The following is an 18,777-nucleotide window of genomic DNA, read 5'->3' on the forward strand; positions in this document are numbered from 1 at the left end:
CCTCTTTTTTCAAATGGAGAGACTAGTCATATCTCACATATGAAGTTGTTTTGAAGATTAAGACAGCCAGTGTCTGTAAAATGCAGAGAATGTTTGACATATAGTACTATGTAAGCGTTGCCACTATTGCTATTTTCATGTTTAATGTTGCAGTTATACTATGTCCAGCTGCAGTATGTGACCATCACCAACAAAACATACAAGCATCGTTTCTAATCCAATCTTCTCTTGAAATAATACTCTCCGCGGTAAATCACTGTGCCCTAAATTTAGGTATTGTTTTGATTTTTTAATTTTTTCTCTTGCATTTATTTTATCACCAATTTCTATCTATGATAACTTAGAAAACCATATCACATTCATTTACTTCTTCCATTCTCCACTTCTACCACCATATGAAAGTAATGGTCACCTGGCCAGGTGCAGTGGCTCACACCTGCAATCCCAGCACTTTGGGAGGCCGAGCTGGGTGGATCACAAGGTCAAGAGTTTGAGACCAGCCTGGCCAACATGGTGAAACCTCATCTCTACTAAAAATACAAAAAATTAGCTGGGCATGGTGGTGTGTGCCTGTAGTCCCAGCTAATCAAGAAGCTGAGGCAGAAGAATTGCTTGAACCCAGGAAGTGGAGGTTGCAGTGAGCTGAGATCCCTCCACTGCACTCCAGCCCGGGTGACAAAGCAAGACTCCGTCTCAAAAAAAAAAGTCATCCTCACCTGTCATATGGACCACTGCAATACCTCACTAGTAGTTTTATCTGCCTTCATTCTTTCCACTTTTGTTCATGAGACAGCCAGAGGGATCATTTAAAATATAAATTTAAATGTTAAAAAGTCCATGTGTGTTATCATTCTTTTTAGAATAAAAACTCATGCATTTTACTATGACCTAGGTAATTGTCATAGGTCTTTTAAAAAATCTATCTCTGACTTCATTTGATGTCATTTTTCCCTGAATCTCATAGAATTCTAGATTCATCAACCTCCTTCATCTCCCTGCATTATTCAAAGGTCTTTTTTACATATGTTACATATGTTGTTTAATTTGTTTGGAAAGTGAGTTTATATATCTTTTTGTACATCTGCCCAATTTGTAGTATTCAAACCTCATGCAAAATACGATGTCCTCAGAGGTAATTTCTCTAATTATTCTATTTAAAGTGTACTCTCTCTGCTATACTTTAACTCATCATCTTACCTATTGTTTTCAGAGCACATAGTTCACCTGTAATGATCTTGTTGATTTACACTGTTCCTTTTACTATATGTCTTTTCCTTTAGAATATAAATTCCATTAGGACAAGGGTCTTACTTGTCTTGTTCATTGATACCTTCCAACATTTGCCTTCAATGAATATTTGTTAAGTGAATGAAGGATGTTACTTTTTCTTTTAAACATCCTTTGTGCTACTTCAATAAGTAAACTAATTTTTTATACTATGCGGTGCATTACAATTTTTCCCAATTTCAATCAATTGCTCACTTTTTCATTCCTCTTTCATAATTTAAGGCTGCTGATAATATGGACTCTTGTATTATTATAGTATCAATGACAAATACATGGCCTGATATACCATTGACGCTCAGTAAATGATAAATCAGTAAATGATTAGCCTGTATTTGTGATAAGGAATATGTGTTCATCCAATCAACATCTATTAAGCACAATATATATCAAGTAAAGTCTAGGCCCTGGGGAAATGGGAATGTTTAAGGAAGGCGTGGCTTCCCCCTAGATCATGGTGCTTACAGTCTAGGCCATGGTTTCTCAAATATTGACACTGTTGCCATTTTGGTTTGGGTAATGCTGTATTGTGAGAAAGTGTCTTGTGCATGATAGGATGCTTATAAGCATCCCTGGCCTCTACCAACTAGATGCCAGTAATATTCCCTGGCACACAATTTTAACAGCAAAACATAACCTCAAACACTGGCAAATCTCCCCTGGAGGGAAAAATCAACTCTGGCTGATTCACTGGTCTAGTGAAAGAGATAAATATTTATATATCTGTAGATATACATATAAGTACAAATTATGATCAATATTATGCAGAAAGGTAAAAGCTGAAATGTCAGAGTATAACTGGGAGACTGATTTGTATTGGTGGGTACGGGTTGTCAATAGAATGAAATGTTGCTGACAAAAAAAGTGAAATCTAGGCTTTAGTTGATAGGATAAGCCAGATTTCAGGTAAAGGTGGGAGGAAGAAGGTTTCAGGCAGAAGGAGTAACCTGTATGGAGGGCCTGAAGCACGACAAAGTTTGTTTTATGCTGAAAACTAGTGCAAAGTAGAACAGAAGGGGGCTAGAAAGTTAAACAGGGGCAAGGCCATGCAGGGTACCATAGACTATTATGCCTTAGAATTTTATCTTAAAATTAATGGGAAAAAGAGTTTAACCAACAGGGATGTTAAGTGGAAATACAAAGTGGAATTCCATTTCTACAAACCAGTTGTGATGGCTGCATTCTGGAGAAGGAGGCTGTTAAAGCAATTAAACCGAGAGACCATGGTGATTTAATCTAGAGACATGGTTCTAGACATGGAGAAAAGTGGACGGCTGATAAAGTCACTTTCTTGTACACATGGATAGTTGGGTGGATTTATATATTTCCCAGTGGAAAATATCCTCTAATGGGAAGATAATCTGTGTTGAGAATGCTATGGTGATGTTTTCTTGGGAAGCTTTGTAGTATATTTATTGGCTTTCCTACTTGGTCTCTTTCACATTCAGTTCAACTCCTGAGTCAGCCTAAGGGGTTCTCTCTGGTAAAAATCCCAGATGATTCCTACCTTTTCTCCATTCTGAAGAGGCCATTCCTTCATGCCTCCTCTTCCTCTTCTGCCAGGTGTAAACGTGTGTATGTGATCAATGGGCAGAGCAGGGATCAAGTCGAGCAGAATGAGTCCCAAAGTCCAGGGACCTGAAGGGGGAATGAACACAGGAAGGAAAAATTGAGGGCTCTTTCCTTTAGCTGTTCACCTGCTTTGAGTGGTGAGTTAATTAGCAATAGGAGTGCAAGTTGACAGCCCTGGAAAGGAGCAGTCATGCAGTGGGAGGTGAGGTAAAGCAGTCTTGCTGGGAAAGTTGTTTCTGATTTATAAATACGCCTGATTATTATGATGGTGCCCATTTGTGATTTCATAGTGAAGGATCTGTCAGTTGTCCTCATCTAAACCCCTTGTTTTCACAGGTTTCTAACAATGAAAGGAACTCACCAGAGCCCCAGACTCAGCCTACAAATCAAGCTTTATTTTTAAATATTAAAAAGAAAAAAATCTGTTAGATTGACTTTTACAAGGAAATAAAGCCAGGTTACTGAATGAATTCATCTGAAGGTTATTTATAGTTTTGTTGCTTGTTTGTTTTTAACCACAGACAACATGTCTTAATTGGAATGGACAATAAAGATAAACTGCTTCAGCCCTCTTGTAAAATGGTGCGTAGTGTGATGCTCATAGCTGAGATTTGAAGAAATACTTTCATTCATTTTCATATCCATCCAGCAATCATTTGTCAAACAGTTATTCAGCACTGAACCATGGACCAGAAAAGGGACAGACAGAAGAATAAGGCAACGTTGTCCTCTTGAAGTAGTTTGAAGTTTGGAGGGACACACATTTAATCATTAAATCTTCAGTAAGAAAAAACATAACATGTCTTGGCCGGGAGCGGTGGCTCACGCCTGTAATCCCAGCACTTTGGGAGGCCAAGGCGGGCAGATCACAAGGTCAGGAGTTCAAGAACAACCTGGTCAACATAGTGAAACCCCATCTCTACTAAAAATAAAAAAAATTAGTGGGGCTTGGTGGCGGGCGCCTGTAATCCCAGCTACTCAAGAGGCTGAGGCAGGAGAACAGCTTGAACCCGGGAGGCGGAGCTTGCAGTGAGCCGAGATTGCGCCACTGCACACCAGCTGGGTGACAGAGCGAGACTCCATCTTAAAAAAAAAAAAGAAAAAAAAGAAAAAAGAAAGAAAAAGAAAAAAAAATGTAACGTCTTGTAGCACAAATTAAATTCTACAAAAGTTGCAGTAAATTTTATTTGGCTGTTTTAGCTTGTTAAATGTGAATATTTTTTTCTGTACCAAATCAAACTTTAAATAAAACAAAAATACAACCTAAGCAAAAGGGAACTGTGTGTAAAATATTGTTGAGGGTACCAGAGAGAAAAGCAACTGACATCAATAGGGTTTCCATGAAGAAAGAGAGGAAAATGCAAGACAGATGTGAAGGAAGAAAAGAAAAAGGAAGGCAAGAGGGAAAGAAAGGTGAAAGTAATCCATATATTCTTTCTTTCCTTCCTTCCTTCCTTTCTTTCTTTCTTTCTTTCTTTTCTTTTTCTTTCTTTCTTTCTCTTTCTTTCTTTGTTTCTTTCTCTCTTTCTTTCTTCTTTCCTTCCTTCCTTCCTTCCTTCCTTTCTCTCTCTCTCTTTCTTTCTTTCTTTCTTTCTTTCTTTTGTGGTAAGAACATTTAAGGTCTACATTTAAGATCTAAGAGTAAACCAATTTTGCTTCTGTATTATTGCACCCAGCATAACAATAGTGAGTTGAGATTCAAATTTTTATCCCGATATGGAAACTTAACTGTTTCCTTATTGCCCTAGAGTAGAAATCATGGAGAAATAGAAATGGGCAGAAAACTGACTTAGAACAGATTTCAGAACCCCATCACTCCCCCCAAGAAACAGAGATCAGACTGTTTTTGGTTTTGTTTCTTATTTCTTCTTAAGAGTAATTCCGCCAGTCCCTGAAAGAAGGGGAAAAACACTTCAGCTATTATTAATTATCTTAACTTGGTTTACGTCCAGGCTCTGTTTGATTACTTGCCAAAGGTAATATTGAGAAATAAATAGAAAAAATATACATAACATTTTTGAATTTATAAAATTTCTTGGCCAAGAGGCTTGGTGAAGACAGGGAGGGATATTTAGGAAGTCTGAATATCAGGCAAATGTTCGGAACTGACACAATAGATTCCAAGTGGAATGACTGTCCAGGAAGAAGTGAGCATGGAGGTTGGGCAAAGATTTCCTAGAAGCCCAATATTTAAGATCAGTAGCCGTATTGGCACAATGACGTTGTTAGCTGGTGGCTCCTTCCTCATGTGATTTAGGATGCTTACAACTCAAAATCCTGATTCTTGTACCAGTTAGATGTTTAGACTAATCATAGGAGCATCTCCTTCCATTTATATCAAGTATGCTTACTATCCAACAGCCAAGAAGATAACTGATGCCCAATCCATGAGCTTTAATCTACCACCCTTGGTGTACCTGGTAAAAATATCTCACTATAATGCTTCCAAATATGACAGTAGATTAAAAGGAAGCCCAGGACTTAAACTGAGGAGGAGCTCCTACACTTGTACCTAGGAACATGAGGCTAAACTGAGCATGCCAGAATACCTGAGACTGTGGGGAAGGTTAGAATTTTTGCAACTTTTAATATTAATCAAGTTCTCACTACTTACCAGACACTGTTCATCATTACAAGCATTATCTTATCTAGTGCTCTTAAATCCCTTTGTTATCCCAATCATATACTTAAGAAAACTGAGACACACAGAGATCAAGTTTTCTAAAGGTCATATACCCATTTAGGAATAGATAATTCAAATTAACTATTCTACTACAATATCAATATTTTTCCCATTTTCTTTGCAGTAAGTTAACTTTCTGTATCATTCTGTCTTCTTTTTAAAGTGAGAAAATTAAGTATACTTAGCCTTTCTTTGAACAGCTTCCCTTTTCTTAGACTAATGTTTTCCAACAGTATATTCCTTAGAACATTTATGCAAAGGAATATTAATAACCATTCTGTTGGATGTTGGAATAGGTAACAGGTATCTATAATCCCAGAATCTTAAAACATGGTGGGTTAGAGAAGGCAAGGAATCATATTTTTGTAACTGCAGAACTCCTCACCACATTTAAGTTTAGTGTTTGTTTGTTTGTTTGTTTTTGAGACAGAGTCTCACTCCGTCACCCAGGCTGGAGTGCAGTGGTGTGATCAGCCTCCCGGGTTCAAACCATTCTCTCTCCTCAGCCTCTGGAGTAGCTGAGACTACAGGTGTGAGCCACCATACCCGGCTAATTTTTGTACGTTTAGTAGAGAACAGGTTTCACCATGTTGGCCAGGCTGGTCTTGAACTCCTAGCCTCAAGTGATCTGCCTGCCTCTGTCTCCCAAACTGTTGGGATTACAGGCATGAGCCACTGCGCCTGGCCACAACCTTTAAGTTTCTAATGTGAGTTAAACATGTTAGAAGTGGCAGATGCTAAGAATTTAAAACAGCATTAACAAACATATTTGACCACAGAATCCTCATTTTTTATTGTTTTCTTGTGTATTTATGATATTTGTTTGCTGTGGAATACATTTGGGGGTAGACTTGTGGAAAGGATGAAGTTCACATTTATAATTAACAAAGTTTATAAATTATACACTCTTCCCTCAAACTTCAGCCCCTGTCATCTTACCTTTTCTTATCATTTACTGCAAACACAAATACACACATCTGTACAGCCCTCCTTCTTTTATTCCCCTCTCTCCAACACAGATGCACACAGGCTGTCTGAGCTCCTCGAAGGCATTGGTTTGTTTATCATGCCCACATGTTTTCATAGAACACCCTCTTCCTAGACTCTGCCTTTTCAATCTCCTATTACCATCTCTGTGACAAGTATGTATTCAACTTGCCGTGACCCTGCTCAAATGTTATCTCCTCTTGAACCCACTTTTGAGAAATATTGACATAATCTCATGCTTTCTATTTTCCCAGTATGCATTTTTTATATTTTGGTAACATGCCAGTGAAAACCAGACTCTGCTAGGAATTAGTGGCTTGGCTTGACACCTGAACTCTTAGTAAGATCTTGACCAAGATCTCACATATATTTTGGAGGGTAATTTCTACGTATAAAGGCACCAGAGTATTAGAAGTGCCACAGATGCACAGGAAGTCTAATTAGATACTTGTTTTCTCACTGCCATTAAACAAAGGACACTTTTTCAAACAACCCCATAACCCATCTAATATGGTCATAACTGACCTATTCCCCAAATCTAATTCTATCCATATAACCTTGCCTCCAGTCTAATGTTATCCCAGACATTATATTACTAAACCAATCCCATCCTTATAACCCTTTGGCCCATTAATATACTTCTAATCATCCATTTATAAAATATAACCCACCCAAACAGCCCTATAACCTTTCTAATGGATTCAGAACCAGCCAATTACCAAACTTGATCTAATCTGCATAGTTCCCATCACCTTTTAATAAGCTCTAACTGGCCCTGCAAGTTTCACCATTAACAAAAAACTATTTTATTCAATTTGTGGCCTTTTATTTGATTTTTTTAAAACATCAAATACTGTACCATTTATTAGAAGTCCATTCTTTCCAACTTATTCAATTCTCTTATTTCTTGCTTGAGAAAATTGTAGCATTTCCCAATATTTTAGTTCATTATCTTTCCCAAAAGAATTTGAGATGGATTTTACAAAATGTATATGCTTTCAGGTTCCACAACCAAATTTACATTCCCCATTGGGTTTCATAGAGGCTTTCTATGTGTGACCAAGGCAAGTCTCTGATTAATTTACTTCAGTGAATGCTTATAAGAAACCTACATTAAGGTTGCACACAGACCTACAGACCTTTCCATACAAAGCTAAATGGATCTGAGCTCAGAGCACTGCATGAGAAATATTCCTTCCATTGCTATTATAACAAACCAGATAGAACTAGGAAGAAGGAGGAGGAGGAAGAAAAAGGAGTAGGAGGAGGAGGAAGAAAAGAAAAACCTGCATACATAGAAGGCAGATGGCATGTTAGCATATCTTTATTAAAAAATTTATTTTTTTACAATTTTAGTTAACACTATGGACTTTCATTTATGGATGTGAGGGTTGGGATGTGGTACTTTTATTCATGTGTTTATTTGACAAACATTTACTGAGTATTTGTTGTTTTAGTCAGCTCATGCTGCAATAATAAAGTACCATAAACTGAATGGCTTAAACAATAGACATTTATTTCTCACAATTCTAGAGGCTTGGAAGTCTAAAATCAATATGCCAGCTGAATCAATTCCTTGTGAGATCCTTCTTCCTGGCTTGCAGATGGTTGCCTTCATATTGTGACTTTACATGACAAAAAGAGAGAGAACTCTGGCTTCTTCTTCTTCTTATAAGGATACAAATAACATGTTGGCCCCAACCTCATGATTTTATCAAAACCTAATTACCTCCCAGGCCCCACCTCCAAATCCTATCACATAGGTGGTTAAGGCTTTAACATATGAGTTTTAAGGAGAGACAAACATTTAGTGCATAACACCTGCCTTATGGTGATAAGGCTATGTGAATCTGGGGCAGTGAATTCTATTCATCCTGTGGCACATCTTTATTGCTTGGCCATGTTTCCCATCACCTCCTGGACTTTTGTAGGGGTAAAAGTGCACAAATGTAAATATTTGATTACTTAATCATATACATATTGGTGTGTATTAAGCTACATATATAAAAGTTCAGCTATGCAGCAAATATGTACTGAGGACTGTGTCCCAACTAGCACACCCAGTGCCCTGTAAAGAATGTGTTATTATTCTCACTTGTTTTTAGTTGAAAGCAATGCTCAACGAGCTCAGGAAACTTGCTCGAGATTGCACAAATGGCTGAGCAGGACTTGAATCCTTGGCTCTCTTAATTAAAAGCCTAAATTATTTCTCTCAATCCACAATACATGTCAAGCAGAGTCATTTCAGTGACATTAGACTATTCCAAATTCTTTACATTATAAGTGAAGAAACTAAGGCCAGAGAAAGGAAATGACTTTCTTCAGGCTTCATATGTACATCTGTACACAGAAAGATGGTTGATCTGGAGAAGAAGATGGTTTCCTTTGTAAGCACAGCATCCTGCCATTTCAGACAGGCTCTGTCCATTAGCACAGCAAGAAGAGAGAGTGAATACCCCATCCTTCAATCCCCGCAAATGGCCCTTCAGTAAGTGATTTGCTGAGGCCTAGGCCCCCTGGGGGAAGAATGCATTGTACATCATATGGACCCAGCCAAGCTATGTTTACAGTTATGAAGTGCCACATATCAAAATTAGCATTTGTGCAAATGATCACACAATTCCATCAGGCCTGCTGTGTCCCTTTAATAGGCCCATCTTTCAATTATGAAGTAAAGATCAGTCAATGTTCTTCTAAAATCTCATTCCGTTTGTTATTTTGACAGTAAAGAAGGAGGTTTTCTTTTCTTTTTTTTTTCTTCCACTTGAAGTCAGGCCCATCAACATGAGATGGTTATCAAATCTATAGCAGAGAAAATGGATATTTTGAGTTTGTACTTATATCTTAGAAGTGGAACACCTTTGAAATGCTCATGAATAGGAATACAAACATTCATATTTAAGATTCTATCTCCTTGAGTACATCTGATTAGTCTAATTCTACCTTCCATTGCTCAGGGAATCATAAAATGTTAAGTATTTCAGTTCGAGGAGAATTTAGAAATCAGGCTTTCCTTCATTTCTGCTTCCTCTATCTGTTCTCCCACATCTTTAACAAGTTATCCCACAGACTAGCTTGAGCAGATCTTACTATAGGGAACTCACTATCTTACAAAGCAGTATTTCTCTTAGGCAACTATCTCTTTTTGAATCAAAATTGGTATCCTTAATCTTCAATCGATTGGTTTACCATCTGCACCTAGAGAAATAAATACAATCACTTTTTCATCAAAAAGAGCTGCAACTATTTGAAAATGTAACTATTATCTGATTTCTAACCCACATTAGGCAATCTTAATGGTATTTTGGTAGTTTTTTTTCCTGTTTATTAAATGACCTGTGCATTCAACACATGGCTCAGTACTCTTATGGTATAGCTCACTAATATTTCTGTATCTAAAATCAAACAAATTACCAAAGCACCCTGGGCATATGAATTAGCTCATGCATATGAAGAGTCGAGAAGAGCTGATCAATTGTCTACTGCCATCATTCTGTAAGAGATACCATCAGGCAATGCACCAGTTGAGTCGGAAAAATGTGTAATTGATATTACCAGAGAAAGTAATTTTTAACTTTTACTTTTTTTCTCTACTCTTTTTTAAAAATTTGAAGTAATTTTAAACTTATAAAAAAATCTTAACAGTAGTATAAAGGCATCTTTATTTTCCTTGAAGCATTTGAGAGTGAGTTGTGGATATGATGTCCCATCACTCTTAAACACTTTAGTGTGTAAAGCCTATGAACATTAACATTTTCCAACATAACCACAACACCATCTCCAAAATTAGGAAATTAACATGGATGCGTTACTAATACCCAATTCTGCAATTCCTCTCAAGGGTCTTCACTTTCCCAAAAATGTTCTTTATAGAAAGATGGCCCAATTCCAAATTATGTGTTGAAGTTAATTTTCGTATCCTTTTAGTATTGTTCAATCAGGAATGGTTCCTTGGCCTTTGCTTGTCTTTAATGACTCTGACACTTTTGACTATCATAGACCAATTATTTGGTAGAATGTCACTCAATTTGAATCTGTTTGATATTTACTTATGTTCAGTTTTAAATTATGGATCCTTGGCAAAAATATAAAGCAAGAGGTCTTGTGTTCTCATTGTAACCTATCAGGTGGTACACAATTTCACTTGTCTCACTGCTGACTTTGATTGCCTAATTTAGGTTATTTCTGTCAGGTTTCTCTACTGTAAAGTTACTTTTGTAATTAATTAATATTATATGGGAGATATTTTGAGACTGGGCAAACGTTCTATTCCTTATCAAATTTCCACTCACTAATTTCAGCATCCATTGATATTAGCTGGATAAATGAATTATTACAATGGTTGCCAAATGTTGATTTCCTGTGGCCAACCTTCTTTCTCCATTTATTAGTTGGTATTTACTTATCCCTATTTATTTACTAACATATCAGAATGTACTCTCAGGTACCTATTTTACTCAATGGTTATAATGCATTACCATAATTATTTAATTTGACATCAGGCTTATTTCACTGGGAGGTCCTTGAGGCTGGTTACTACGCTTTTTTATACCACACCACTATTCTTTGCACTTGTGTATTTTCTGGTATACTGAGATGTATCAGGCTTATTTGATACTTTTGCTTCCACAACATTGAAATCAGCAATCTTTTTAGGGATCATTAGTTTTCTTTCTTTTGTGCAAATGATCACACATTTCTTTCTTTTCTTTCTTTCTTTTTTCTTTTTCTTTCTGTCCTTCTTTTTTTATTTTTTCTTTCTTTCTTCTTTCTTTGTTCTTTCTTTCTTCTCTTTCTTCTTTCTTTCTTTTTTTCTCTTTCTCTCTCTTTATCTCCTTCCTTCCTTCCTTCTTTTGCTTTTCTTTTCCTTTTCTCCTCTCCTCTCTTTTCTTTTCTTTTTCCCTTCCTTTCCCTTTCCTTTGACAGTGTTTTGCACTGTTACCCAGGCTGAAGTGCAGTAGTGTGATCTCGACTCACTGCAACCTTGACTTCCTGGGCTCAAGTGATCCTCCCACCTCAGCCTCTTGAATAGCTGTGACCACAAGCACACACCCCCACAACTGGCTATTTATTTTATTTTATTTTTTGTAGACACAGGGTTTCACTATGTTGCCTGGGCTGTTCTCAACCTCCTGGGCTCAAGTGATCCACCCGCCTCAGCCTCCCAAAGTGCTGGGATTAAAGGCATGAGCCACTGTCCCTGGCCCTGTAGGGGAAAATGTTATTTAAAGACAAAGATGTACATCTTAGATGTGTTCATTGCTATAAGGTTTCTCTGTTTCTAAGACCTCTCAATGAAGTTATATAGAATATGTGTGTATATACATACAGAAATTACATACACATGCATTCTGGCACCAGCCATCTCCCCTAAACATTCTTCTCACCCGTTCAGGATCCAATACACCCCTCAGGCATTGACCTTCTTCCTTGGAGAATGTAAACCTTGATCCGCCTACCTAATGGCTTTTTTACTAGATAATTTAGGAGGGAATAGATGCAGGAAAAAAAAAAAAGAAAAGGAGGGAGAAAATGAAGAAAGTTAACACTGAAGGGAAGGAAGAAAGGAAGGAAGAAAGGAAGAAAACTGGAAGGAAAGCATGCTCTCTATTCCAGTTGAATGTTATTAAAATTTTTTCATGAAACTAAGGCACCTTAAAGCATTTCTTATACAAGTAGTACTGAATCATTCAATATTCACATGCTGAATGTGGGAATTTTAAAGTAGCTATTAATAAAGTTATATCAATCTTTTGGCTGCCATTACATTGGCTTCATACTATTAGGCCTAATATTGGAGGAGTAAATTAGATGCCTCCATGATCTCAGCTCTTCCTGAAACCTCCTGTCAGAGAAATATTCAGGTCACCAATCCTCTCCTAAAATATATCATCACAAGCTGCCCATATATCTATACTTTTCTTTTCTTTTCCCTTCTCTTCCTTTCCCTTCCCTTCCCTTTCCTTTCCTTTTCTTTTTCCTTCCTTCCTTCCTTCCTCCCTCCCTTCCTCTCTTCCTCCCTGCCCCCCCCTCTCTTTCTCTCTCTCCTCTTTCTTCCTCTTTCCCTTGCTTGACTTCCTGGCCTCAAGTAATCCTCCCATCTCAGCCTGCCTAGTAGCTGGGGCTATAGGCACATGGTACCATGCCCAGCTAGTTTTTTAAACAATTTGTTTTTCTTTTGTGGGGGTAATATGGGGCCTTATTATGTTACCCAGGCTGGTCTTGCACTCCTGGGCTCAAGAGATCCTCTAGCCTCAGCCTCCTAAAGTGCTGGGATTACACTCATGAGCCACTGTGCTCGGCCTGTTTTTCTTATAGATGAAGAATATGATACAATTATAGCAATTTGAACTTGACCGTGAATCTTTTACTTTTTAACAATATGGCTAGATATTATATTATCAGTTTGATATATGTAATAGAATGTTAAAATGCAAATTTTGACTGAGGTATATTCCCAAATAAGGTTCTAAACCAAGAAGCACACATTTCAAAATAGTGGATTAGAATCTATCTGACAATACTTCAACCCTGATCTCTCATTAAGGCTATAAAGTACTCATTAATTGAAGATTAAAGAAGTAATTTTGGAGACAGCTCTGTATATGCTGTAAGTCTCATGCCCCTGTCAGGAAACAAGTAAAGGAATCTGCCCTGTTTATCTCATATCAATACATGTGACTTTAGGAAAACCATTTGAAGAGCTTATTTAATGTTTTTTGTAATCTAACCCCTGAGTCATATCTCAGAAATATAAAAGTGAAGACCCTGGATAAAGTGACCTATGTTCTCAGAATAAAGAGCTGTGGTTTGAGAAATAACCATCCCCACCAAGTTTATTAGAACAAAGGATATTTGGCCTTCCCTACAAACTAGCTCTGGGCCATGAGATAAAGAACACAGATTTGGAATTGCCTAGCAGTGTCTAAGAGGGTTACATGGAGAAGCATGAGGAACAGAGTATAGGTGAAGGCTGTGGGCTGAGTCAGAGGGGGTAATCTAGAATAGAAATGCATCATGAAAACGTTAACTGAGAGACACTCAGAGTTAGGGTTGTTAGAATCAGAAAAACCTAAGAGAGACATGGACAGCATTAAACAGCTTTCACGCACAAAGAGCACTGAAGCTAAATACCCAGCCAGTGCAATGAGAACTTTTATGCTTGCTTCCTGACATAGCCTCCTGAATGCTTGCTCCAATAATGGAATGTTTAGAAGCCAAAACAAAGAGAAAGGAGTGCAGCTATCCATATGCTCTGTTTCCCCTACAGGCTACTAGACTGAAGAGGGCCTATATGAGAGGAGGAGAGAAGCTTTCACTTTATATCTAGTTCCAAGTTGTGAGATTGCATTGGACAGAACATAGTAATTATTAAATTAGAGTTTTATGACTTAGTTACCTTCGAATATTTTATATGATGACCAGGGTAGAAAAGGTACCTGTTTAAGGGCAGAGAAGCAGCTAATCTCTTAGAATAGTTTCGAAGTTGCTTTGTTATTACATGTCAAAAGATATGCATGTTTAATGTAAGACTATCTATATATTATATCATTTAATCTAAACAGAAACATCTTAATTTAATAAAATTAAATTGTATTAATTTAATAATAAATTTTATAAATTATAGTACATTTAGGTAAATATACAAATACATTAATAATTTACTAATTTATTATTTTATTTATTAATGAGGCAAGTAACTCTCAGAAAGGCAAATAATTTTTATTGTGTTGCAAAGTATTTTAGTGGCAGAATAAGAATTTGAATTTAGGTTTAACTGATACTTCAGCCCAGTTCTGGGCTTAAGTAACTGATACTTCAAATTCAAATTCTTGGGCCCAAACCCAAGCCCAAATTACGTTTAACTGATACTTAAGCCCAACTACTCTGAACAACTCCTTATGAATTTGTGTCATCTGAACACAGATAAATATGACTTGATCATTTCATCAAATTTTTGAATTAATACTTGAGACAGACATTACTGAAACCCAAACCTTTAGGAATTGAGAAAATCCTCTCTTTCTGTGGACATAAAATAAAAAACAAAAACCTTTTAGGAACTCCATTTAATAATAAAGTGTTCAATTGCTTAGGAAATCTATGCCCTTTCCAAAAATCCTGAACATTTACTGGACTAACTATATATAAGGGTACTAACTATACTATACTACCTAAATATAACTATACTAACATTCAGTTCAGTTACAATTGTTTTTGAAATATTGAGGTCCTTTTTAAAAAATTCTTCATTGGAATCCATATGCATCCCCTCCTGTCACCCCTCCTGTCAGTTAGTAAAATTCAATTATATAAAAAACCACAACCATAAAATATAAATGAGAATTCATCCTGTACTCAAACTAGATTGGAGTTTTTAGTATCTTGTACTTTATTTTCTTTTAGTATCCTATACTTTATTTTCTATCTCCACAGCATGTCCTTCCTCGCTCCTTTCTCTTTTCTTCATTTTTTTCCCCCAAATCTTTTCTTATGCTATGGAAATCAAAGAATTCTTGAGGTCAGAGAAACCTATATAATTCTACCTTGGGGAATGATGCAATAATTATCACCCAATCATATCATGCTTGTAAAGTAACCTAAGTGCCTAGCCTAAAACTTTTCCCTACAATCACAACAAAAGTCTTTACAGATATTAAATGTTGTAATATATGAAAATAACTGGTATAAAGTGGGTGTTCCAAAATTGCAGCCCCCGCAAATACATATTCATGTGTCCTACTGTCTTATCCATCTTTCAATGTCAAGTTTGAATCTTATGTTCTCTATGAGGCCTAGTCTGGTAAGTCCTGTCTTGATGAAGTGGTCTCCCTCCTGTTGTTCCCTTTCACACTTGTATCAGCCTTTGTTTGTTATCTTTCAAAATAAACTTTATTCTGCATTATGTTATTTTAAAAATTCACAAGACCTTATAGAACCATTTTTTTTCAAGTTCCTCAACGATTTAGGATCTCAGGCCAAAGGAATTAAGAAACTTTCCCTTAGTCACACTAAGTTAAAGGCAAACATTTGTTCTAGTTCATCATTAGTGCTTAATTATCGTATTGAAAGCTCCACAAGGACTAAAATTGTGCTGTATCCTTTTATTATCTTTGCTCCCTGAATCTAACAGTAGTGGTAGAATCACCAAGTAGGCACTCAGTGCACTCTTGATACATTAAATTATACTGATTTTACATCCAGGAGGGATTTCTGAATGTGGCCAAGCACAAGATTCACCTGAGGGCTTGATAAAATACATAGAATCTTGTCTCTGCTCCCAGATTCTGACTGTAGCTCTGCAGTGGGCCCCAGGAATCTGTATTTTTAACAGATTCCCCAAGCGACTTGATCTTAATGGTTCAAGAAGTAGTGCTTAGGAATTACTGACTAGGACACATACCCTATTCTGGAGTGTTTCCAGAGGAAAAAGTCCACAGTTTTGCTTAGTAACATGACTGGTGTCGAATAGACCTTATAGCTAAAGAAAAACAATTCTTTATAATGCTGTAACTAAATTCTCATGACTGCAATTTATTCCCTACTACCCCGGGTGGAAATGGGTAACAGCTGGTCTTTTAATAACCCTTGAAGATTATTATTAAGTTCCTCATCCACCTTCTCTTCTCTTAGCTAAATAGTTCCAATCTTTCTCAGGTATCCAACAGGCCCTATTTCCCAAGCCCTCTTTTCTCTCAGGGTTGTCTAAGTTTTGAATTAAGACTAATAACCTATGATTGTGCTGTATTAGATAAGATGTAATGAAAAGCATTTTAAAAATTTGGAGAAGTACCATACAAGTAGTAGGATTTGGTTTGAGAGTAATATTCTTATATGTCTTGTCTGCACACATCTCTATAGTTTTTTAAAAAAATATTTCTAAGCAGATACAGAGGCAGTACAGTGCCAGGGACTTCATATAGCCAGGGCAGGGCACCAGGCCTTCCACTAACTGGATGTGTATCTTGGAACAAGTTATTTTCCCTTTTATATTTTTTATTTCCTTACAAGGAAGACAATCTATGCTCTACCTAAACTCTAGCAGTTATCGTGAAGCTCCAATCAGGGCAGCAGAAGGAACTTCGAAACATAGAGTCCAGTCTGTATCTAGACTTTAGGGTTAGACACAAAGGAGGCTGGTTTAATGGAAAGTAATAGAGAATTGATCCATTCTTGTTCACATGAATGTTAGAAAGTTAGTAGCATGGGGATAAACATTGCAGGATTACTCAACAACGTCAACTGTCTGAGATACAACTAGGACAAGTCAGCAGGCAAATTCATGGCTAGTTGAGCCAAACTTCAAATGGGAGTGTTCCTCCTCCAACAAACTAACCAGTGATTTTCTTGAAAGGGAGACACTTTTCTGAGCTCTGATAATTGCATCTGCCCACCCTGGACCTAATTTCTCAGCAGGATCTTCCTCATGATGTACCAGCTGTGGTATCACTCCTGCTGTGGTATCTCTATCGCAATTCAGCCAAAGCCATTCTATTGTAAACTGTGATGGTTATACATGGGTTCATAGCTGAGCAATACCCATTGTCAAAGAAGAAATTGGATGTAGAGTGCCAGCTGTAGGAGAAAGACTGATTCAGCATCATCATCACCTACCACCCAGGTCCGTCATTATTCAATAATAGCTATCTTTTACCAAGCATTATTAAATAGCTCATTGACCTAGGTGATGATGATACCAGTCTCTATTGTAAATAATGCAGCATATTATCTCATGTAATCACCATATAGTACTGTGAGTTAGTAATTATCCCATCTTACTAATTAAGAAACTGAGGTAGAAAGAGATGAAATCATTTGACTGAGATGCCATAGTCACCTGATCCTCAAAATCAGACTACGGGACATCTGAACCAATGCTCTTGAATATTAGTCTTCATCAGTTTGGCCTGCTATATAGCAAAGTACCATAGACTGGGTGGCTTATAAATAATATAAATTTATTTCTCTCAATTCTAGAAGCTGGAAGGCTGAGATCATAGTGCCAACATGGTCAGGTTCTGGTGAGGGCCCTATTCTGGGTTACACACTGCCATCTTCTCATTGTATCCTTGCATGGAGAAAACAGGATGTGGTCAGTCCATTGCAAGCATGCTACACAAATTTAAGATTGGACATGGAACTAGGGCCTGATAAAAATAAATGATGACGGCCGGGCGCGGTGGCTCACGCCTGTAATCCCAGCACTTTGGGAGGCCGAGGCGGGTGGATCATGAGGTCAGGAGATCGAGACCATCCTGGCTAACAAGGTGAAACCCCGTCTCTACTAAAAATACAAAAAATTAGCCGGGCGCGGTGGCGGGCGCCTGTAGTCCCAGCTACTCGGGAGGCTGAGGCAGGAGAATGGCGTGAACCCGGGAAGCGGAGCTTGCAGTGAGCCGAGATTGCGCCACTGCAGTCCGCAGTCCGGCCTGGGCGACAGAGCGAGACTCCGTCTCAAAAAAAAAATAAAAATAAAAATAAATGATGACATTTCATCCTGCTCAAGGAAACCTTCTGGTAACTTTATTACTAGAGATTGAAGTCCTAATTTATTGGCCAAGCATCTAAGACTTCAATATCTAGATCCAAATTTTTCTCACAGTCATATTCCCCGACAGTACCCATCATCACACCCCATATTCAAAGACAAACAAAAAAGTCTCCTGCTTGCTGCTCTGCTTCAAGCTCCCCAACCTCACAACCTTTGTTTTTGCTGCTCTCCCTGAATCTAATAGTCTTTACAAAATTATCATGGCCAAATACTAACCTTTCCTCAACAAACAATTTCAGCATCCCTGCTTCATTTCCTTATTTCTAATCTAAACAAGCAGATGTTATTTTTGAACTCCTATCTTTTTTATTCCTAGAATTTTCTGTTTTATAATGTTATGCGATAATATCTTATCACTCTTAAAAATCAGTAATTTTGAGCGCATGTACTGGGGGCTAAAGATAATGTCACATGCTTTCCTAACCTTCACGTCAATCCTATGGTGCTGGCATTATCATTTTCATTTTATGAGAAGGAATTAAGATTTGCATAAGGAACACAAGGTCATACCACCTGGGTTTACATCCAGATATTTCTCAATGTGAAACCTGTGTTCAATCCATAACCACACTATACTATCTCCTTATTGTTAGTAAAGTTATAAAAACAAAAACTGCATCTTGCTTATATTTGATTCCCTACACATTGCACGTGACAGGCACCATGCTTTTTTTTATTCCTTTGCAAATTGATTTAAATT

The 18,777-nt window shown here is 37.3% G+C and overlaps 2 long non-coding RNA genes across 8 annotated transcripts in view; one reads left to right on the plus strand and one right to left on the minus strand.

The window, feature by feature from the left end:
* The window catches only part of LOC102724929 (uncharacterized), an 88,452-nt gene that overhangs the window by 58,729 nt on the left and 10,946 nt on the right, over positions 1–18,777 (minus strand). For all 7 annotated transcript variants that reach the window (XR_930303.3, XR_428592.5, XR_930302.4 and 4 more), the window contains one exon: positions 2,792–2,922. This is a non-coding gene — a long non-coding RNA (uncharacterized LOC102724929). The remainder of the gene's footprint in view (positions 1–2,791; positions 2,923–18,777) is intronic.
* LINC02578 (long intergenic non-protein coding RNA 2578) overlaps positions 1–18,777 on the plus strand; it is a 65,642-nt gene that overhangs the window by 23,365 nt on the left and 23,500 nt on the right. The gene's annotated exons all lie outside the window — the stretch shown is intronic.

Source organism: Homo sapiens, chromosome 9 (genome assembly GCF_000001405.40).
Source record: "Homo sapiens chromosome 9, GRCh38.p14 Primary Assembly".
Lineage (NCBI taxonomy): Eukaryota > Metazoa > Chordata > Mammalia > Primates > Hominidae > Homo > Homo sapiens.